Source organism: Homo sapiens, chromosome 11 (assembly GCF_000001405.40).
Source record: "Homo sapiens chromosome 11, GRCh38.p14 Primary Assembly".
NCBI lineage: Eukaryota > Metazoa > Chordata > Mammalia > Primates > Hominidae > Homo > Homo sapiens.
The window spans coordinates 74,622,348-74,646,613 of record NC_000011.10 but is presented as its reverse complement, the minus strand read 5'-3'; the positions used below and the strand labels follow the sequence as shown (position 1 = coordinate 74,646,613).

At 38.5% G+C, this 24,266-nt stretch overlaps 1 protein-coding gene across 7 annotated transcripts in view; it reads right to left on the bottom strand.

The window, feature by feature from the left end:
* Positions 1–24,266, bottom strand: part of POLD3 (DNA polymerase delta 3, accessory subunit) — a 76,760-nt gene that overhangs the window by 22,728 nt on the left and 29,766 nt on the right. For 5 of the 7 annotated variants that reach the window (NR_046410.2, NR_046409.2, XM_011544734.4 and 2 more), the window contains 5 exons: positions 21,041–21,206; positions 17,291–17,397; positions 11,919–12,031; positions 10,339–10,417; positions 3,538–6,050 (listed from right to left, as the gene is read on the bottom strand). Coding sequence is in view for 5 of the 7 variants with exons in the window: in XM_011544734.4 (XP_011543036.1) it covers positions 5,848–6,050; positions 10,339–10,417; positions 11,919–12,031; positions 17,291–17,397; positions 21,041–21,206 (668 nt within the window). In the remaining 2 variants the exon portion in view is untranslated. Of the gene's footprint in view, positions 1–3,537; positions 6,051–10,338; positions 10,418–11,918; positions 12,032–17,290; positions 17,400–21,040; positions 21,207–24,266 lie in introns of those variants that run through there. The other 2 variants (XM_005273716.1, XM_047426295.1) reach the window with 2 other exon arrangements.

The window sequence follows — 24,266 nt, the reverse complement described above, 5'->3', positions numbered from 1 at the left end:
AACTGAAAGCAATTAAATGGACTGCTTACAGCAGTATGCTCTATTTGGAAGTTTCCTGGTGATCTAAAATTAATCAGAAAACTTAATTTTAGTCCAGCCTCTCTTTAAATTCTTAACATTTATTAGCCTACTTATCTAACTTTGTAATTTAGTTAAGTATGGTATACTGAACATAATTGAATCTTTGTTTATAGATTCCAGACCACTTGGCAGGGATGCTGCAGAGAAGATGCAGACATCAGATAAGAGGTTGATTTGAATAAGCATTAAGATTGCCTTCAAATCTGACAATCTTGGATCTCAACAACCAGCTGCACTTTCACTTATAAAAATGAAAATCAGGCCGGGCGCGGTGGCTCACACCTGTAATCCCAGCTCTTTGGGAGGCCGAGGCAGGCAGATCACCTGAGGTCAGGAGTTTGAGACCAGCCTGGCCAACGTGGTGAAACCCCGTCTCTACTAAAAATACAAAAATTAGCCAGGTGTGGTGGCATGCGCCTGTAGTCCCAGCTACTCGGGAGGCTGAGGCAGGAGAATCGCTTGAACCTGGGAAGCGGAGGTTGCAGAGAATCGCTTGAACCTAGAAAGCACAGGTTGCAGTGAGCCGAGATTGTGCCTCTGCACTCCAGCCTGGGTGACAGAGCGAGACTCTGTCTTAAAAAAAAAAAAAAAACATCAATCATCACTGGGCGGTATGGAAGTATGAACTAATACATAGCCAAGAGGCAATATAGCACAGTGGTTAAGACTGAGGGCAATGAAGCCAAATTGTCATGATTTATATCGTGGCTCTGACCTTGGGCAGGTTACTTAACCCCTTTGCCGCAGTTTTCTCATGTGCAAAATGGGAATAAAAGTACCTATCTCACAGGGCTGCTATGAGGATTAAAAGAGGTAAATGTGAGTTACTCTGCTTTGTATTAGTTTAATAGGTGTCAAAATACTGGGGACTGCCCATGCATTATTTCATTAACGCCCTAAAGCAACGCTTTAAGGTAGGTGGGTAGCTCATTTTTAAAGATGAGGAAACAAGTTCAGAGAGGATGCATATCTTGCTTAAGGTCAGTGCCTCAGACAGGGTTTGCATCCAGTGCCCTCTGTCTCTAAAGCCTGTGTTGTTTCCATCCCGGCATCCTGCCTCCCTAGTAGGTCAAAATTGTTGAGTGTGTACAAAACTGAGTGGAGCCTATACAGACTTTATATTGTATAAACTGCCTTTTGAAGTAATTCCTGATAACTGCTTGCTTTCTCGTCAATACTCTCATGCTTAAAGCACAACAGAAATAACTCCATTAATTAAAGATTCACTAAATCATGGTTTACTTACACCGTGAATGTACAAGTGGCAAGTGAAGTTCAAATAGCTGAATAACACCCAATAAAATGGTTAGCCTACCTCAGCCTGTTTCTTTCTTTAAATCTTTTATTGTTCTTTGCATAGGAATATAATATTTTGCCCATAATGATTATCCTAATTCATTCCTAAATTATTAAGTCCCATGTCTATCACTCATCTAAGCATTGTGTCAAATGCTAAATGCTATTTAGTATGTTTGTCTTGTCACTCCAAAATGGTAACTTACGGGCTCTTACAATCCCCAAAGTATTTTATCCAGGACTAAACATAACTAGCTTCCAATAACTGCTTTATGCTTTGGATCTGACTGATCCCAAACAGACACTAAACAAAGTAGTTTTTCCATTCTTCAAGAGCAGTCCGGTAAAAGACATGCCATGAAGAGCCTTGAGAAAGCCTAAAACACCAAAAGAATGAAGCTGAAGAACCAGCCATGAAGAACTCTGAATATTAAGAAAGTAGGTACAGGGAGCCAAGGTGAAACCTCAAGAAACATGGAGTCTGGAAAGAGAAAATGAGAACAGTTAAGGGGAATGGGTGTTCAGAAAACATTAAGGGTTTGAAGTAGAAGGGGAATTGTAGAGTTAAGGTGGATTCTGATCCAATGGAAAAATATTGGATCAGAAGCCTTACCAAGTTTCTCTGGCTAAAGAGCCTGGGTGGTAATCTGTGGGTGGTCCGCACCTAAGAACACAAAAAACTGGACACAGATACAAGTGGAGAAAAGTGTCATGCAGCAGGGAGTGGTAAGAGTCAATCCTAAATGCAGTCATTTGGGTACAATGTGCCCTTCAGAGAGGGCATGGTGACAGCATGGGCTAATTTACAGAGCTGCCAGGGCAATAACTCAGAAAGCAATACTGCCTTCTCACAACAAAACGAGGCAGCCCCAAAATGTTTCATGGTGGTAAAAGCTGCATTACAGCATACTGAGATCCTGGAACCAATGAAAGGAGACAAGTTTACCAAAACGAGTCTTGACACAGAGTACGTTTCTGGCAAATACATTATTAGGCACTCATTCTACTCATGTCCTGGAGAAACTATTTAGTTTCCTTATATGGCCCTTCTCTTCAGCCCTCTCCTGTATAATAACTAATGTCTTCTTAAAGAAACAAAGATAGAAAAGGAATAGAGAACTGTTTCACTCGTTTACCAGCCCCCTCTGCCCCTGAATTCCCAGTTTTTTCCAGGGAGGTGAGTGGAGGCTCATCACTGAGAGTGTCAAAGAAGAAATACCAGCTTTTGAAATCACTTTAAAAAATTGATTCTGCTACAGAAATCTATGTTGACGGGGGAAGACAAGGGAAACACTGCAATTGTCTATGCTGACTGCCAGAATTAAGCGGCCTTGTTTTAACCAAGATGGTTTTCTTTAATCCCGCTAGAATTTTAAGATACAATGTGCATATGCAAGGGTAGAAATACTATCATGGATACAAAATCAAAGTAAATACTGGCTGTCACTCTTAACTGAGAACCAACTTCTGTTACTCTTCTTAAATTTCTTCAGTTGGCTCCCATTATCTACAAATCAAATCCAAACTGCTTAGCAAGGCCCCAACTTCATTTCTGAATACATTTTCCTCCCTATTCTCAAGTTCTACAGCCCACCTCTCCCAAAAGCCATGCTCCTCTGCCTGGAAAGTCATTTCCATTCCTCTTTGCTGGGTGAAATCCTGCTCATCATTCAAAGAACTGCTTGCTCCAGGAAGACTGCCTTGATACCCATCCTCCTGGGAACTCTTGGAGGACCCTGTACATTGCACTCACATATGGCACTGTCATTTCATTTTACTGGCTTTCCCTTCCACTAAATTGTGAGGATCAAGTGCCAAATTCTATGGTTTCTATTATATCCTCTAGTCCCCAGGTCATGGGCTTGACACATAGTAGATACACAATAAATGAACAGTAAATATAGGCATCTATAATTCCTTCAGTAGGAAAATATCTACTCTCTTTAAACCTTTCATGAAATAGGACAACTATCTTCCCCTTTTTACTACATGTACAGCCAGAATGACTGAAGAATATACCACCTGGGTCGTATAACTGATAACATTTCAGGAAGCTGCTAGCTGATTACATCACTTATGACATCAGAAAGAAAGCCACCATTTTGTAGAGCGCGTATGTGACCGCCAACATGGACCGAATTCATGCTACATACACTTGACTTTAGTCTTGACACCCTTGGTAACTCATTTTAGTTTTATTTTGATAAAGAACTTGAGGCTGTGAAACTTGCCCACAGTCATACAGCTAGCAAGTGATGAAGCCAAACTAATACAATGTGCTAGATTTTCTTCTAGATGAACTAAAAAATGAGGTTGGCTGAAACTAACATTTCCCCAGTGCTGAAAAAAACGATGAAGGCAGCAAATAACTTGTTCATCTCAGACTGTGGGTATGCAGTTTTAACAATATCAACTGAAAACCAGCCTTCTTCCCATTCAGAGCTTAAATAATTGCAACACTGTTACCATCCATCAAATAAGAGACTCATCAGATACTCAGTTTGAAGCACTGTTTTAAAACAACTTCTCAAATTTATTTAACTCATGTGGTTAACATGGTATTGTATAAAAAGAAAAAAAAAACACCACTCAATACTTACTAAGCCTTGCAGACAGCTCAGAGTTGAGGCAGCATATTGGGCATAGAGATCATAGGATTTGTATTATCCCTTGCAAGATGGAACTCCAACCAACACCAGAATTTTCCAATTCAAATTCAGTTTTAGTCGAGACCCCAGCATAATTTTTAGAAAAAAGATTGGATTGTTGCTTTTCTTTTAATTTTCCATTCCTATTTAGACAAATGACCAGAGGCAATGACAAAAGTAACTGTTTAAAAGGGATTTCTCTCCAGAAGTTTTTTCTAAAGGTTTAAGTCCAGGCTTTCCATCCTTCTCTCCATCCTTTTTCCTTTTAAAAAGAAGGGTTTTGGAATATGTCAACCTTTACTCAGCTTGCTATACAAAGCCACTGCTTTAGTCCTAGACATAATGCCAGGACTCATCTCCCAAACTTCTGGTCTTAATCAAGTTCATGCTTGGTTGCTAAAGAAGCTCATGTTAATCCCAAAGTCAGCACAATCCCAACCTTAAAAAGCAGACAGCTGATTGCATCACTTACGACATACACCATCTTGAGGCAAAAGAAGCCAGTCAGACACCCCTTGTCTGCTACGTGTGAGACACATCAGCAGTTGAGCCTGACCCCTTCCGCAGAGCTCACTGTGCAAAATCACCAGCACACCACTGCAATCCACTGAGCTCACCGCCTGTCCAGCCATAATGGAAGTCACTTGAAGGTTATCATTGTAATAGATGATTTTCCATAAGTAACTAATAAAAATGTTTTCTTTGATGTTTAGACCTACTAACAATTCAGTCTCTCCCTCTCCATCCTCTCTTAGGGAGCCTGTACTTTTAAGCAAATAGGGAAGCTAAAAATACAAAGGAGCAACATCCATTTATAAATAAATGTGTGCCTTATCTTCCTCACTAACTTCCTGGAAAAGTGCTGTTTTTGAATATTCTGTTTTCTTAAGGAGAAATTTTTTGTAAATGTAGCACACTGTATATAGGAAGGGATTTCTCTTTTTAGTCTTTATCTCATTGTACGGGTTTCACTCTCTAGGTATTGAGAGTGGGGGAGGAGGGGATCAACAAACCGCAAAGAGCAGCATAAAGCACACCCCGTATCAGCAGCACGGCAGCTCCTCCAATATCGTCAATGCTGACTCGAGGTAATTTCTGGTGGAGTTGAACACATCATTAAATTTCTATTTGTGTTCTGCCTGAGGCTTTTCCCTAACCACTAATTGCAAGTGAAGGTCCCAGAGAGCTTTTGTGAAAGGAACAGAACACAAGCCACGTCCTGGTCTGTAGCCAGGTGTCCGTGTACTGCATAATGGAGGAAGAGGATTACAGGGAGATTTTCACTTCAGCCTTTAGTCCAACCAAAACTTAAAAGACTTACAGAGAACAGCCTCAGGAGGTTAGGGGACAGAAGTGTGGTACTGCAGGAAGACAAGAGGGGTAAACGTATCCAGCAGAATGTAAGGATAAGAAACACCCACATGAATTCTTAGAATACAGAGGAACAAGAAGGAATAATTCCTGTGCCATATGCGGACCAGGGCATAGGGTGAGTGGAGCACAGTGGGTTAGCCACTAAATGGCTTCAGTGAGAATTCTGAAAACTGTTCCAGTATAATTTTGGAGTAAATCCTTCTCCTGGACAGGTCAAAGACTGTGCTTTTTAAATGTCATTAGAAGGTAACAGCTTTTTGCCTCCTGCTTCCAGATGATTTCCTTTTGGTTAAAAACCAGAAATAGTATAAACCTCACAGGATGAAAGAACAGTCTTTTGATACAGGTGAGGTGGAGATCTAGATGAACTTACATAGTAAGTGAGGAGTACATTTCTTGGTCTTCTCCCTTGACCACTCCAAGTCTCTGATCTACCAGAGATGGCAGTTTATTTCCTCTGGAAGAAGCCAGTAATGGACACCTGTCTGTTGGCTTTGCCCAGAGCAGCAGTCCCTTTCTTGGGGCCCTTTCGTTCCTCTCTGGGTTCTTTTTTCACAGTCATGGCAGGGGGTCTGTGTACTGAGGATGTCTTCATGTTAAGCTCCTCTTCACTATCTGTGCAGGATTCACTCTCGTAGACTTTTTCAGTCACTGGTAGGATGAGAAAAAAATGGAACATGGGTGGGCTGAATCATTTACTCTATGAAGAAAATGGGATGTCTTGCTAACCCCAATCATTTCAGACTCTGATCAAGGCAAATATGCTTACTTAGGACTCAATCTTTCTCCCACTGGGAGATCAGATCTAGCCTAAGGTAGGAACTATGTGGGATCCTGAGCTCACACAGTCTCTATTTGATGCTTAGAATTAACGTTCACTTTTCTCCCTCACAGCTATATCCCATGCCTTTAAATGGCCCTTTATCAGTGAATTGCCTAAATCCTTTATTTGGGTCCTGGCCTATGCTGGCTAACTTCCTGAACTCTATATCCGAATTGTCTATATCTTAAACACTTACTTCTAACTCCATGCTTTGACTGGCTTCTTAAGTATCACCTCTCTGACCTACAATGCCTGCCTATTCCCGTTACTGGTCTTAAACTGCTGGCCTATTTGCCTGCCTCCATTCTGTTTAACCAAGGTCACCATGGACCCTCCTGTCTAGCTCTAACCTGATGCCACCCACTCTCTGCACATCCTAGGTACAGAGAATTGAAGATTAGTTACTCAACTGTTCGGTTCTTAGTTCTTAATGGCTGCAAATTAACCCAAAATTTAGTAGTAGTCTGTATCATGAAGGTTAACTATCTCAAGCAAATGCTATCGGATGACACACGTGTTAAAGGAATGACAGTGATAAATTGAGAAACAAAGTTACCAGTTTTCTTACTCCCTATCAGCCGAAGGCATAAATTGCTTTTCCCCTGCTATTAAAACTCACTGAACCCTTCCCAAGGGAAACTTGGAAAAGAACTGTAACAGTAAGCAGTCATTATGAGCAAGCCCCAAAGGACACAGGCACAGATAGTGGCTTCCAGCCATGACGTCACATAACCGAGGAGGATCTACACTACTGCAACACATATACCAACCACAAGAAACAGCATGCCACCTTTCTGTAATTTTAGAGAGCTGTGGCAGCTGTATAACCAATGCTATCTAAATTCTTTCTCAGCCTTCCTGGTTGCAGCAAGCGATAGAGAAACATTGAAGGAAAAGAGCTTGTTCTTAGCTGAAAAGCGTAACCTAATATGCATAATAAATGCTCAAATGATTAAAGTAAAAGGTTTTTTTTTCCATTAAAGAACAATGACAGTCTTGAGCTTTTATTGATAATTCTTTCTAATAAAATATATCAAATTGTTCTAGAGGCATAAGCTTTGGAATCAAATGTATGTGTGTCCCAATACCTACTCTGCTACTTAAGATATCATCTCAAACTTTACTGTGCATCAGAACCACCTGGAGGGCTTGTTAAAACATAGATTGCCAGATTCTGTTTCTCAAGTTTCAGACTCAGCAGATCTGGGGTGGGACCTGAGAATTTGCTTCTCTAACATGCTCCCAGATAATGCTGATGCTGCTGGTCTGGGGACCACACTCTGGGAATTAATGTTCTCTCCTTCCCTGTTTTAAATGTTGAAGTGCAATTGCCACTGGAGCATTCCGTCCCTCTTATCCAGCTAATCCCATTAAGGCTGCATAATCAACAATCCCTTCCCAGAGAGTTCCCAGAGTTTGTCTTTAATTTTGTAAGAGCCCAGAATTCACTTTGATGTTCACTTAGAGGCTAAAAAATACTGATAAATTTTAGATATATATTAAGTATTCTGAAAGGCCTTACTACTCAAATTGTGCTCCGCACACCAGAGGCAACAGAATCTCCCATGAGCTTATTAGGAATGCACTCTCAGTTCCCACTCCTGGCCTACTGATGCAGAATTTCAATTTTAGCAAGATCTTCAAGTAATGCACATAGCCGGCAAAGTTTGAGAAATGTTGCTCTAAGATAATTAGAGAATTCCCATGGCATACCTATTCGTTCAGCAATTAGACCCCAGAACACCACCTCCATCTCACATGCATCTTCAAAAGCATTATGTAACTGAATTAATGGGACAAAATTACGAGCTGTTATTTATTCAATATCTTAAATTAGAAAAGTCTGAAGAGCCATCTACAGATACAGAAAGGAAATTACTTTCTACTAGTTGGTGGTATAAGACTTTGCTCCTTCATAAGCTATATTCTGTACTCAAATGGCAGCATGTCTACATTATACTTCAGCATCAATTAGCTCATTATTTCATTACTTATTAATGAAATCAATGGCTGTCTCATTGCCAATTTTGTGTGAGACATTGCTCAGGGGAGTTAAAAAACAGTCAGGGCAGCACCAACAAAATTTCTTTAGCAGCATATTCAGTATACTGTAAGAACTAAAAGGAATATTTCTATATTCAAAGCTGTAGCTACCGCAAACCCCAGAAAAAAGGAGGTCTCCATTAAAAATATAGGGCCTTTATTTTAGCTGAACAACATGCCACTTTTCTGGGTTGCCATTAAAAAAAGGCAAACAAACCTGGTTTTCGTGGGTAACATCAGATTTCTTTTCCACTTAACTGCTTTGCTCTTAGAAACCCATTCCCTTGTCCAGAAGTCTACTCCAAACTTATCTCAGGGGCCCAACTACCCAATTTCTGCTGCAAAGTCACAAAGAGAGAAAGATGAGCTTTCTAAACCCATAGAACAAATCTGATCCAGCACAGGACAGGGCAAGCCCCCTATGCTGGTACATTTGGAACAGTCTGAGCAGAGAGAGGAAAGCAGAACTCCTTTGTTGGTAACCAAAGCCAAGATTCATTAGGTTGAGCTTGGACCAAAAACCTTTAAAAAAAAAAAAAAAAGTGCAATGTGAGCACAGTTTTCACTGCTGCATCCAAGGCTCTTAACAGTCCTGTCTGGAGACAGGAGTGCAAAAAAGTCCACATCACACACCTGGCCAAAACTCGAGTACTATATTTTAAACAAAGCAATAAATAATTACCCACAAATTCCCAATGAACTCTCACTCTCACAAAGACGTTTGACTTTTTTCTTTTGGGGCAGAAAGAGGAGGAAAAAACTGGCACCAATGTTTTTGTCCTCTTAAATTTAAAAAATGCACTGTTGAATTAAGAAATTCAACAGTAAACACATATATTATCACCCATGGCCAAACCAAGAGGCTTGAAAATGGCAACTATTAAAAGACTGAAAGCCAAAAAAAAAAAAAAAAGGAAGAAAAAGAAAAAAAAAAACCCATTCAAAGTCCAGAATTCACAGGTTCACAAGAAATTTGGCACTGAAAAGACAGAATTTCCACACGTAAAGAATTTTACTCCCCAATCACATGTTACAATTAAAATGGCAGAGGCCTTTTCAGAGGACTGGGAGGTGGGGAATAGTGGGACAGGGAGCACAGATGACAAAATGTCTTCACTAGTTTTAAGAACCTGGAAAGGTTGATTCTTCAGAGCCAATCTTTTCAAAACAAGTCTGAACTAGGAAAAAAAAAAATCAGTAACAGGGAAAATAATCTTCTCTGAAGATCCAAGCTGTAGCAGGTGCCACAAAAGGCAAAATGACAACCATGGGCTATCCAACTAACAAAGGTAAGAGCCTAAACCCACAACTCTTTTCAAACACAAAAATACAGTACCAGGATCTGAGCATCCCATCAAACCTCAAGTGCTAAATCTTAAAAGCTCCACAGAAGTCTAGTGTGATTATGGAAAGGGTAGAAGAAGCTAAAACATGGCTGAAGAACTAGCCAATGACTCAAAGCCTGAACTCTAATTCCTCCCTAGGCCTTCATAACAAGCACATGCTTTTACCTAACATGGCTTACAAATAGGAAACATAAAGGAAGCAATCTCGATGAGTCATACCCTTCTGAAGAACAAATGGAACCAAATACCAAAGATGACTCTTGATTACAGTCTAATCATCTGTAGCTTCTTTTCCACTGTTCAAATTTATAAAAACAAATATTCTAGAAAAAAAAAAGCTTCTCAATGTCTATGATAACATCTTAAGCCCATACTGTGGTTTCCATCTTGTTTTTGGATATATTTATGCCACCTGAATCTTCATAACTGCACATTTAGGCAAAATAGATATTCCATAGATAAGAAACTCTTCACCAGGGACGACATAACTTTTAGCCAAGATCTCAGTGCTTATTTTTATAGTCTATGACCTAAACAAGAACCTAGGTGTTCTGACTTACACTCTGCTACACAAAGTGTATGCCATAGACAAACAGCATCAGTACCACTTGGGCATGATTCACATGTAAATTAAAGTTTGAGATGTACCTGTTCTAAAAGGGATTATGGTGCCTCTGTGGTAATAAGAGATTCTATCTCTGGATTTGGAGCCAAATATTTGTCTTACCTATGCAGCCTTCCCCATCCAGGTAAGTTTTAGATTTTAGTACGCGTTTTCGTTTTCTTTTGTTTTCTCCACTTGAGCTCTAAAAGGTCAGAGGATACAATGTTAAGCTGGATCAATTATGTTATACAGAAAAATAACAAAAGCTTTTAAATCTATACTAATCACTCTCCAATACTCCATTATGATAAAAAGTTGAAAGAGAAACTCTACATTAGTTTTAGAGAACCAACCCCATCACACAGACAAGTTACGCCCACTATATACACAGGCTTGATACTTCATTGTTCATAAGAAGGAAAGTAGCATGCTGAAGAAAGAACTGTGTTCTGTTCATTCAGTCAATAAACTATTGTTGGGTAGTGCAGGCAGCATGGTTAAAAAGACATATAGGATAAGGACCTTAGTGGAGGAGAGAGAGAAGGAAAGCAGACCACTGCAATACAGTGTAGTGAGGGCTGAGACAGATATTATGGGAGTACACAGGGATGGCCCCTAAACCACACCAGGGATTTCTGTGGCATATGCCCTTGCTGTAGATACTTGCTATGTCAGCCTTCACATTTCTTGTCTTCTTTTTTTGTTTGTTTGTTTTTTAGAGACAAGTTCTGGCTCTGTTGCCCAGGCTGGAATGCAGAAGTGCAATCATAACTCACTGCAACAGTCCAACTCCTGGGCTCAAATGATCATCCTACCTCAGCCTCCCAAGTAGCTGAAACTAAAAGGCATGTGCCACCATGCCCAGATATTTTTAAAGTAGAGACAAAGTCTCCCTGTGTTGCCCAGGTCTCAAACTCCTGGACTCAGGCATTCTGCCCACCTCAGCCTTCCAAAGTGCTGGGATTACAGGTGTGAGCCAACACGCCTGGCCAGCCTTGACACTTCAACATTATAGCTATCTAATTTAGTCTCAAAATAGGTATTACTAGTATCAACTTCCTTTTATCTCCACTGGTCTCTTTCGTCCCATTTTCTCTTCAGCTAATGAGGAAATCAGCGTAAGATTTAAATGATGGTCTTAACACAATGAATTAAGAAAAACTAACAGCCACAAAGGAAAAAAAAATTGTCAGCGACTATTTTTTCAACTCTTCATTATCTACACTAATAGGTGTAGATAAGATGCAGCTGAAGAGCGTTCAAAGCTATATTTCCCCTTTGGTTGACAGTTTTCCCATCCAGCCCTTTTCCAGAATTGCTTCTGAAGAGCAACAAACGTGTGTTAAGTTGTTTGTTCCCCTCTGTCTTTCACGTGTTGCTCTGATGCAGGGGGGATCTCTTTTTACACCATTCTAACAGGAGCTGTACAGCACAGCAGAGATGCTGAAGGTCATGAAAACAGAACAGCTCCCAGGTTCCACCTCTGCAACGTTCCTGAGACTATACCCACTAGCAAAATCTCCCTTCAGGTAAGAATGGAGGGAACGCCCATTCTGTACAACCTGTAGGACAGCAGAATGAGACAAGAGCCATCTACTGGCATTTGTGAAGTATACAGCAAGGGAACTAATTTAGCATAGTGGTTGTAGGTCCTTAAGACACAAAGGATGCATGGACATGCAAGAATCCCAGTATAATTTTACCTTGACAGAAGGAGGTTCAGGCTCAGTCTTTGGCACTGGTTCAAGAGGTGGAGACGGAGGAGGAGGTGGGGATGGTGACTCAGCTTCATAAGCCCCAGGAGAGTCTGGAAAGACTGAAATAATGAAACGGACTTAGATCAGAGAACTACAAGCACTATCTGGTATAAAGCCTTCTCCATTGGTTCTCTAAATTGACATGTCCAGCAAAGGGGATTTAGCAAGCAGTAATTCATGACAACCAAGAACTCTGTAGTTATATAGTTATCTTTAAAATACATATTTTATTAATTTTATACAAATAAAATCAGAGAATCAAGAATTATTACAGCCGGAAGTATCTTAGCTAAATATTTTCTTTTATAGCTAGTCAGGTTATGAAGTTGGTTTACAAATATCCACTTATCGCCTTTCATATGCCATGTATTTCACTTTATTCTTACAACAACTCTAAGAGACAGATTTTCTTATTTGCACATTACAGTAAATAGAGGTTCAGAGGGGTTCCTAAACTTGCCAAGGTCACACAGCTTATAACTGAGACAGGAGGTTTTAAGCCTAAGTCAATCCAATTCTACAGCCTTGCTATTCCAACTATCCCATGCCGCCTTACCATTGAGGACAAGACATTATCTCTCAAGATCTATGTGGAGATAATCCTCAGGTTATAACAAATGTTCCATGCCAGAGTCTTTCACTGTGACCTAAGGGTTACTTTTAATCACCTGAGATGTTTCTTAGACTGAAAATTTCCAGCTGATGTTAACAGTATAAACTTGGAGGTGGGTGAAGTCATCTTTTAAACAATTATCATTATTTAAGCTCTGACAACTAGGACCTACTTAATATTTTGCATATTTCTAGTGACTGCTTCACTGATAAGGTTTGTTCTGCTACAGTGAGGTTAACAGGAAAGAACACTTTTAGGAAAAAAATACTGCTGTGGAAGTGGCATCACCCAAGAAATGAGCACCACCAGAGGGATCCCATCATTTCTCAACAATTGCAGAATTGGTGGTCTTAGTAAACAGCCCATGAGAGGGGAAGTAAAAATCCTCAACTGACCTATTACTCAATCACCACAAAGAAAGTGCTGGTCAGGGGACCGGGTAGCGACTTAGCCTCACCTGCTCCCTGAATCTCCTGGCTGTATTCAAATTCTTAACACAAGTCTTGGATCTGAAATTCTCCCAACTGATTAGGTCAGTGTTAAAAATTATGACAGTGAAGAGTTCAAGGCCAAATGGCCTAAAGAGGTGAAGCAGAACAAGAGCCAGAAAGAACAATAAATTACACACTTTAAGTATAAAATGGGCCCCAAAAACTTTATAAGCTCTGGGAAACAAGAGAGAGAAACATAAAAGGAAAGCGGTCCGGCTATTAGCCAGCTCTGGGAGGCTAGAACATGATGGGAGCTCAGGCAAGAGAAAAGTCAAACCCCAGAAGCAAGCCTCCATTGTTCTGAAGGAACAGCTATGAAGAAAGCTGGGCCACAATGGTAGATGTGTTATAATGGGAGGAGGAAAATTTAGGCAATGAGGAAGCCAAAGGAATTTTGAGACTCACAGTAATAAACTTAGGCGTTCTTATTCTATTTCCAGTTCTGAAACCAGTTGACTTAACCAAAGAAAACAATCCTAGTGACACCCTCTAAGACCTCTCTCACAGCACTGTAGGCAAATGTTTATCTAGATCCCCACTCTAGACTCTAAGCTCCAAAAAGGCAGAGACACCACGATTTCCCTGGCATAAACATAGAGTAACTGTGTGTGTGTGTGTGTGTGTGTGTGTGTGTGTGTGTGTGTGTGTGTGTGTGTGTGTATTTACTTAAATAAAGGAAAACCACCACTTTCTGAACTAAATTTGGGATGAGGAACATCCAGGTCAAGGAAGACAACATATATCTCTCTCTTCCTTCCACACACTCCCTGAGAGAAACACTGTTGATAATAAATGAGTAAAACATTATAACTCCCCCAAACAGGGAAGAGAATAGTAGAGTCAAGAGTCCTTAATGATTAAGAAATTTCAACAAATCCATGGAAGGTGGAAGGCAGATGGGAGAAAGTTGACAAAAGAAGCATCAGTCAAATTAGATGAGCCAGAGAGTAGAGATTATCATCTATCATAAAACTTCTATTTTTATCTGACTTTTAAAATTGTAAATATCTACTGCTTTGTTTAAACGTGCCGCCATTCATGTACTAGAATATATGTCTGTCTGCCTTAGTCTTTACCAAGCCAAACATCCCCACTCAATACATTTTTACTGACACAGACATAAAGAATGTCCAATGCACTGGTGTATTTTAAACAGATTTGTAGCCAATCTGCAGCTCTTCAAGCAAAAGGTAAGTAATGAAATATCACTTATTCCAGGAAAGCAACCTTTGTTGGGACAGAATAAAAACTGCAATGAAACTAATTTCAGAGATCCAGTGTGTCAAAGAGTTCTCTGGCAGAGACAGGTAATTAGAATTCCTGGAAACCATTCACAGCTTCCTAGGACTATTTTTTAAAAATACCTACCTTTACCTAAAAATGGGGATCATTTGCTTAACATTCTCCATAAGCAACTTGCAAGGACTGAAAATATTAGCAAAGACTTAACTATATCAGTTAAAACTACATTTCTCCTAGCAATGTAGATGTTATTCTTAATGTTATTTCTTTCTGGGTCTGGCCTTTTTTTTTGCTTTAAAAAGAGAGTATATAGTACTACAGGTGCTTATGACCCCGCAGGGGTAAAAGAGAAAGGAACAGTCCCTTGGGTAGAAAGTTACAAACAGAAGTGGAGGGGAATTTTCTGAAAAAATTGAAGGTACTTGCAAGTATGGGCACCTCAGCAGGAAGAGTAGAGTGAGTAATAAGAAAACTATCTGAACTTGTTTCCAGACACAGGTAAAAGAAAAAAACAGGACGGGCGCAGTGGCTCACGCCTGTAATTCCAGCACTTTGAGAGGCCGAGGCGGGTGGATCACGGGGTCAGGAGTTCAAGACCAGCGTGGCCAACATGGTGAAACCCCATCTCTACTAAAAATACAAAAATTAGCTGGGCGTGGTAGTAGGCACCTGTAATCCTGGCTACTCAGGAGGCTGAGGCAGAGAATCGCTTGAACCCGGGAGACGGAGGTTGCAGTGAGCCGAGATCGCATCGCACCACTGCACTCCAGCCTGGGCGACAGAGCAAGACTCCGTCTCAAAAAAAAAAAAAAAAAAAAGACAAGACAAAACAAAAGAAAACCATGTACCAAGCACTGTCTTGGCACTTCTGACACATCATCTTATTTCATGTTCATAAAAAGCCTATACCATCTGTGATAAAAATCCCCATTTTAGAGATGCAAAAACAAGGAATTAAACAAGTTAACTAATCTGCTTAAAGTCACACAATAAGTGGTCAAGGTAAAATTTAAACCCAGGTCTGCCTGACTCCAAAGTTCTTGTATTTTCTCTACTCCTGCTGTTCCTTTTCTAACTTCTGGCTGAAGACAGCATATTGAACTAATATGACATATTCAGTGTAACAGAAATAAAGCAATAATAAGTTAAAGACTGTGTAAAGGTTGAAAATAAAATCCCACTGGCTTTGATACAAAGATGAAATTTAAGAATAAAATGTCAGAGGTTTATAAATTTAGTCAGATGCCAAAAATTATCTTTGCCAGAGGAAAAAAATCTAAGAGCTTCTGCTCTATATCATCTGTTATTATAGGCTGTGTACCTCTATTGCATTTCTTCACATTCCTTTCAAAACTAAATAACCCCACTCACATTTCTAATCACCCAACAGTATTATTTTTGTAGGCTACAGATCAGAACTATAGGGAATATTTCAGAAGGATATAATGAGTGCTCAACCAACCATAGTCATTCCTTAACTTAGAACTGACTCCTTTACTAATACTAGAGTATCTAGTTGATAGCTTCAAAGACCTTTCCAAAATCTTCCCAAGGTCTTTTACTGATTGGAAATAGGGAAGACTGTTCCAATTAGCACCTATTCCTACATTTACTTCCTAATTATTTTCCCATGTGTCTACATGGAGTTGTTCCTTTCAGCAGCCTTGGCCAAAGCATTTTGATAAATGACAATGGAATGAAAATACAGCATTTGCCTCTCTGGGATGCTCACGTGTCTTACTCCTACCCATTCTAAAGAGCCACTAAAACCCACGGAAGGACATTGTACCTCTCACAGGATATCACAGGCTGTAATTCTAAACACATAGCATGAATGGTAGAATCTAAATCCACAGAAGTGTCAAAGATGCTACACCTTTATCACAGATTCAGCTTCCTGCTACTATTTCTTGGGTCTGTTCATTTCTTTTGCATTACTGTCAACTGTATATATAATTTGTTTTTTTTTCACTCACTTGTATAGTTGAGCTAATATCCTTTTTTCGGAAGCCTCTCTTACCATTTTCAATTCCTCTTAGAGTAGTTTCTGGAAAAAGCAGAATCTTACAAGTTTCAGAATCTTACAAGTTTGTCCTTTGATAGCTCAGTAGGTTCCTTTTTTGCATTCATTATTCTTCTTTACTCTCCCTTTTAGTATCTGTTCGTGTTTGTCTCTGTATCTTTATGTGATGCTGAAATCCTTTGGACTAGATTTCCCCTCATTACTTAAAATGTTTTATACCCATTATGCCATGAATTCATGGACAATTGATTAGAGCAGTTCAAACTTTTCACCACTGTGTCTCAAAGTGGGCTTTTCAAGGTAGAGTCGTCCAGCATATCAGTTCAACCCATTTAACTTTCTTTTTAGCCTCCTTCTTTTTCTATATACTTTATACAATTTGGGGCAAGATCTTGGCTCTTCAAAATACTTGATATTTTTTTAAAAGCATATTAATGTTCCCGGTAAAACTCTTGCCCTTATGAGGTTTGCTTATCTTACAACATTGCCCACAGCCTAAAACTAGAAGGGTCCACAGTGTCATTCCCTTCTAACAATGACACTGTAGGTTGTTCCAGTTAACCCTAGTTTTACCTGTGTGGACCACCACCAGTAATACCCTGGCTGCCTAGAACGTCACAATTTTTAAAAGATTCACATGAAGGTAGCTAAAGGAATATCCTCCCCTTAAAAGTAAAAAAAAAAAAGAAAAGAAAAGAAAAAGTCTTAGATAATATGTATAATAATAATTCTTATCCTCTTTCCTTCTGTGTTATTTTGACAAATTTCCAAAAGATCATGGTTCTAGTCAAAAGGCTAATGCAGATTTCAAACAGAAAGAGGTGCTATGGTGTCTCTTAATGCTAGAATTACTACTCTCATTGTGATCCTTAATCCATTACTTTTTTAGCTCCTTGAACATTGAAAGTAAAATTGATCCCCCTAACCCAAAATGAATGGTAATGCCCACCTTCATCTTCACTGCTATCAGATTCAGGAAGTTTGATTCTTCTCCTCTTTTTCCTCATGTTTTCAGTTTCCTTTGTCTCATCATCAGATAATGCTACTCGCTTCCCCCTGTTGCCATCCAGAAATAAATTAAGCGTGTTACACAGAACAAAAATGTAAGTATTCACATGCTCTTATGGGTTTTGCTTTATAACTCGTGGTCTTAATTCCAGAGGGTAGAAAAGGACGGCCAAATAGTCCAAGAAGGACTCTTGTTAAGGATACTCTGCTAACTGACCACAACTAAGTCACTTCATGAGGTGACTTGAATAAAAAAGTTCTAGAGTTCTCTAGAGACTGCTGGAAGCTACAACCAGGTTATCAAGAATCTTTCCAAATTCCTTCTTACTTCCCTGATTGGCCTTTCAATTATCCAACAAGCATTAAATAAGCAGCTACTACATACATACAAGGCTCTTTGCTAGCCATTGAGAATGCAACAATACAGAAGAAAATACTGTTTTCAAGAAGCTCTGGCAAACACCACTGGCTATAAGGCAATGTGGTAGATTTAACTGGACAAATAAAATGTTATGGAATATAATTCATATTTGGAAAACTTAAAAGCTAAGTAGAAGTTCATCATGTAGAAAGGGGAAACATATTTTAAAGAGAAAGAACAATATGAGCAAAGGCAGAGATATCCTTTTAAGGTGATTCTAATGACATAATAATAATAAAAAAAATCCTAGACTCCATCATGACATTATTTAGCTCCTCTGGATGAATGGATACTCCATCACACTCCTCATGCAACCAACAAGTAATTTATCAAAGGCCTACTGAATGTTAGAGAAACAAATATATACAAGACATAATCTTTGCCATCAAGTACCTTATGTCCTATATAACTTTAAATACCAACTTTCCTTTCTACCTTGAACTAGAAAAAGAACAATTAAACCCAAAGTAAAAGGAAACAATAAAGATAAGAGCAGAAATCAGTGAGATAAAAAATAAGAGAAAATTAACAAAGCCAAAGTTGTTATTTTTGGGAGATTAATTTTATTAATAAGCCTTTTATAAAACCCATTTTGAAAACAGAAAAATATAAATTATCAATCAGGAATGAAACAGTAAAGAAATCTGTATCGAGTACAGGTTCTACAAACTCGAAGAATAAAGTTATATAATGAACGGGTTTATGCCAATAAACTCAACAATTTAGATCAAATTTTGACTGAGTTTTAAAAACACAACTCAGTCAAAACTGATCCAAGAAGAACTAGAGAATTTGAACAGCTCTAGTTAAATCAAATTCACAATAAAAACCTTTCCCACAAATAAAATCCAGCCCTGGATTCACTGGTAAATTTTATTAAACATTTGAAAAATATACACGTATATATAAACTCCTTCAGAAAACAGAGGAAACTTCTCCCAACTGCGGTCATGGATCACTTAATGACAGGGACATATTTTGAGAAATGCATTGTTAGGTGACTTCACTGTGTGAACATCACAGAGTATACTCACACAAACCTAGATGGTATAGTCTATGCTCCTAGGCTACAAACCTGTACATCATTGTTACTGTACTCAATACTGTAGGCAACTGTAACACAACGGTATTTGTGTATTTAAACATCTAAAAAGAGAAAAGATACAGTAAAAATACTGTATAAAAAAGATTAAAAATGGTACACATGTATAGGGCACTTACCACGAATGGGGCTTTCAGTACTGAAAGTTGCTCTGGCTGAGTCAGTGAGTGAGCGGTGAGTGAAATGTGAAGGCCCTAGGATGTTACTGTACACTACTGTAGACTTTATCAACACTGGATACTCAGGCAACACTAAATTTATTTTAAAATGTTTTTCTTTCTTCAATAATAAACAGCTTACTTTAACTGTATTTTCAATTTTATAACTTTTTGGCTCTTTTGTAATAACACAGCTTAAAACACAAAAAATTGTACAGCTGTACAAAAATATTTTCTTCTTTATATCCCTATTCTATAGGCCTTTTTCTATTTTAAAAATTTTTTATTTACTTTTTAAACTTTTTTTGTTGAAAGCTAAGACCCAAACACACATTAGCCTCGGCCTACACAGGGTCAGGATCATCAATGATCATTGTCTTCCACCTCCACATTTTGTCCCACTGGAAGGTCTTCTTCAGGGGCAGTAACACACATGAAGCTGTCATCTCTTATGATAACAATGCCTTCTTTTGAAATATCTCCTAAGGGCTGCCTGAGGCTATTTTACAGTCAACTTTTTTTATAAGTAGAAAGACTACCCTCTAAAATGATAAAAAGTATAGTGCAGTAATTATAGTAGCATAGTCATTTTTATTATCAAGTATTATGTATATATAACTATTAATATATATGATATACTTTCACATGACTGGCAGCACAGTAGGTATATTTATACCAGCATCATCACAAACACGTGAGGAATGTGTTGCGCTACCATGTCATGACAGCTATGATGTCACTAGGCAATGGGAATTTTTCAGCTCCATTATAATCTTACGAGACCACTGTCATATATGCAGCCCATTGTTGACCCAAACATCGTTATGCAGCGCATGAGTAATCTTATGAAGTTAGCACAATTTTGACACAGCAACTTGATAAAGACATTACCAGAAAAGAATGTAACTGACCTGTAGACCTCATAAACACAGGCAACAAATGCTTAGTGTAATATTAACAAATCTAATCCAGCAATATATAAAAAAGGATAATACATCATAACCAAGTGGAGTTTATCCCAAGAACACAAGGTTGGCCTAACATTTTAAAATCAGTGTAATTCACCACATTAATAAAAACACCATCTGAGCATCCAATCAATTCAAAAAAGCATCTGTCCAAAATCAATACCCACTCATGATAAAACCTCTTAGCAGACTTGGAACAAAAAACAACTTCCTCAATCTGGTTAACGGCATCTATTAAAAATCTACATTTATCATCACATTTAGTAGTGAAATACTGAATGCACTGCTGGCAATAAGTATCAACAGTGAGTGACGTACCCATGGTTGTGGACATTTTAATCCATACAAGTCATATGTTCCTAGGTGGTGAGGCCCACTGGACAGAGCTTTAACCCTCTAAAATTTCACCATTTTGTTGATGTTTTCAACGAGAGTAGTCCCAAACTTGCCACAAAAGTCGTCTTTCTAGGCCTATCAGTGTTGACAGTGTCCTTTAGAATTTCTTTCAGCAGACTAATTCTACCAACTATGAGGTAGTGTCTCCAATTCCTGGATCTAGTTTTAATAGCTTTATGTGCTTTTTATTTTCTTTTCTAATTACATTTTACCACTTGAAAAATAAACTCATTGATATAAAAAGAAAACAAAGAAGTTTTTCTCTTAAATTTGACTGGAAACAGTAACTGTTCATTTGGCAATTTGAAGTGAAACACACACACACACACACACACACACACACACACAACTAGGCACACTTATGCCATGTCCACAAATTTAAAACAAAAATCAACAATCAATTTAGATCAATACGGCCAAAAACACGACTTTGGTCCTTAAATCATCCAAACTGGCTGATCCTACGGTCCTACTCCACTAGATAAGCTACTGGGCTTCTCTTTCCATTTTGGTTGTATAGTTGTATCCCTTAGGCATTAAGTAGGATTTAGTACTTAACTGAAAACTGCCTGCTGTCAATAAGCCCAAAGAGACCTTCTCACCCCCAGTAAAGACTCTTCCCCAATAAGCAACAAAATTTTCCTACCTTTTTTTTTCCTTCTGCAGCACCTTAACAGGCTCTGCTTTTTTGCTGGATTTTTTCAGGCCTGCAGGAGTTGCCAGCTTTGGTTCCGTGACAGACACTGTAGGCTGCTCCACTATTTTTTCTTCTTTCACTGCTTGTTCTGAGTCCAAATTGACTTTAAATTTATCTATAAATAAAGTATAGCAGACGACATATGACCCCATCATGCAATATTAATACATCATTCTTTTGACAGTCTACCATGTGCCAGGTAATATGTTAGGAGCAGGGGCAAAAAGGAGCTCATGGACTATTCAGAAACATTCCTCCTTTCCAACTACCACTCTAACTGTAACTTTTCATTTCTGCCTCCTGCTAATCCCTCATTGTATCACAGCCCCCAGGCTAAATGATAGTAAAAGCAAGGCTTAGAAAAAACACATACAACTTTATGAGGCATCATCCTTCTCATTTTCAGATGAGGAAAATCAAGAATCAGAAGGATTACAAGATGTTTCCCAACAATACACAGTTTACAAATGGTGACAACGATTTGCAGCAAGACCTTTGCTTTCTATATATTCTATCTTTTAATGCCTGGATACCCTTAATATCTCACTACTACCTTAATGATAAAATTTAAAGACTATTTTGGAGTCAAAGAAGTTTGGTTCAAACCCCGCTTCACTCTGGGCAAGTTATTTTATCTAAGTCAGTCTTTTCTAAACCTGAGATAATATTTACAAGATTATCATAAGGATTAAAAGAGATCAGTATTGGTTAAATGATTTATCCAGGTAACACTGACAGAAAAGAGTAGGGATTTGAACCAAAGTCAGTTTAACTCCTCAAAGTCCTTAACCCTTTCCCTACACCAAGCTGAAGAATGACTACAGTGCAGCAGGGAGAACTAAGAAATGCAAACAGGCCTAGCCATCTGAGGAACTATAGAAGCATGTCATCTAGCCTTCACGCTGTACTTAGTGATAGCTTTTCACAAGTAAAGGCACAAAATACTATTAGAAAGCTGTCATTAGCTGGAGGTGCTTCAATAAGTAGTTTTGGTTATATGTTGTATAATAGCTTAAACCATCTACAGTGTAGAAAAAAATTGGTATCATAGTCTGGGCTATTATGCATAGCTTAGTACAATAATTTATAAATAATGTGTATTATTTGAAGGGTAGTTGATGGACCAAAGTGTAAAATGCAATCTATTTATACTTTTCTTTTTCCTGAAGACTTGAATGGAAAATGCGAATGGTGGAATCCACCTTCCCAACGATGGCATACTCTTGCATTTTCAACTGTTGTTCTCAAGTATCAGTGCCTCTCAAATATCCCAAATTGTATAGAAGAGTAAACATGCATCTCCAGGGGTCTAGGGGTCAACAGCCAATCCAAAAAATACAGTTCACTGGAGTCACATGTGTAGCTTTAAAATTTATGCAAATTTTGCAATCTATCACATAAATTATATTGTTTTAATAGCAATTGTTTTAAAAATTGCATCATTAGGAGAAAAAAACCTCCAAATACTTCCTACCTACCTATGGATTAAGGAAAGAGAGGCTATTGCATTGAGTTTACCAATTACAGAAAACTGATCTGAATTAAAATGCCACTGATCAAACATTAGATTCAGCATCCAGAGTTTCTTCTGTCTTGGTTTCACAGAATTTTGAGAACTCCAACTTAAACATATATGCAGCTACCAATAGCCAATTAACTGGTAAAGAGGTAGTTTAATGCAACATTGTAAGGCAATTATTAAGGAAAATTTAATGACTTTTTTTGTTACCTGAATGATCAAGTCACCTATCTTCTAGCTGATTAAAAGCATTTCCTTTTTATACTCAAGAAAACACGAAACCTTTTCAAGCAAATAAAGATAACCAATTATGACCTTTAAATTTTGTCATCAATGCTGAATTTTATTACATATAAAGCGTTACTTTTAAAAATTGAGATATAATTCACATACAATAAAATTCATCACTTTACATTCAGCGTTTTAGTTGTATATCCACCATCACTGTCCAATTTTAGAGCATTTTCATCACCCCAGAAAGAAACCCTGAACCCATTAGCATTCCTCCTCAACCCCAGTCCAGCCCCTGACAACCTTTATTTACTTATTTATTTATTTATATATTTTTTGAGACAGAGTCTTTCTCTGTCGCCCAGGCTGGAGCGCGGTGGCGTGATCTCGGCTCACTGCAAGCTCCGCCTCCTGGGTTCACGCCATTCTCCTGCCTCAGCCTCCTGAGTAGCTGGGACTACAGGCGCCCACCAACAGGCCCAGCTAATTTTTTGTATTTTTTTAGGAGAGATGGGGTTTCACCGTGTTAGCCAGGATGGTCTCGATCTCCTGACCTCGTGATCCGCCCGCCTCGGCCTCCCAAAGTGCTGGGATTACAGGCGTGAACCACCACACCCGGCCCCTACTTTCTGTCTCTATAGACCTGCCTATTCTGGACGTTTCATATAAATGAAATAATATATGATCTTTTCTATCTGGCTTCTTTCACTTAATATTTCAAGGTTCATCCATGTCATATCACATATCCATCTGTACTTCATTACTTTTTATAGCTGAATAACATTTCATTGTCTGGATATACCACCTTTGTTTATCCATTCATCAGATGACAGACTTTTGGATTGTTTCAATTTTTGGCTATTATGAAGAATGCTGCTATGAACATCTTGTACAAGTTTTTGTGTGGACATACAGTTTTAATTCCCTTGTGTAGATATCTAGGAGAGGAACTGCTGGGTAAACTCTATGTTTAACTTTTAGAAGTACTGCCACATCATTTTCCAAAGTGAGTACACATCATTTTACATTCCCTACAGCAGAGCACAAGGGTTCAATTTCTCCACATCCTTGCCAACACTTGTTACTGTCCAGTATTAAGTTTTAAATGGTTCAAGTCCCCACAGTGAACTCTCTTCATCCAATTCTCAAGCTTCATTTTCATTGTAATGATCTTGTCATGTGTCGAATACAATAAAAAAGTCATAATTTTACTCTGAACATTCAGCCTTGAAGAAATGTCAAATAAATTAACTTTGTAAGCAATTTTTAGATTAATATTTAATAGTATTTTATTTTATCCAGGTTTTCCCCCTCACCGTGTTACATGCCATCATAACACCCTATTACTCCTACCTAGCAATTACAATCATCCACTATTCAAATGTTTTCTTTCTTTCCTTTCCCTTTATTTTTTTAAGAAATGGG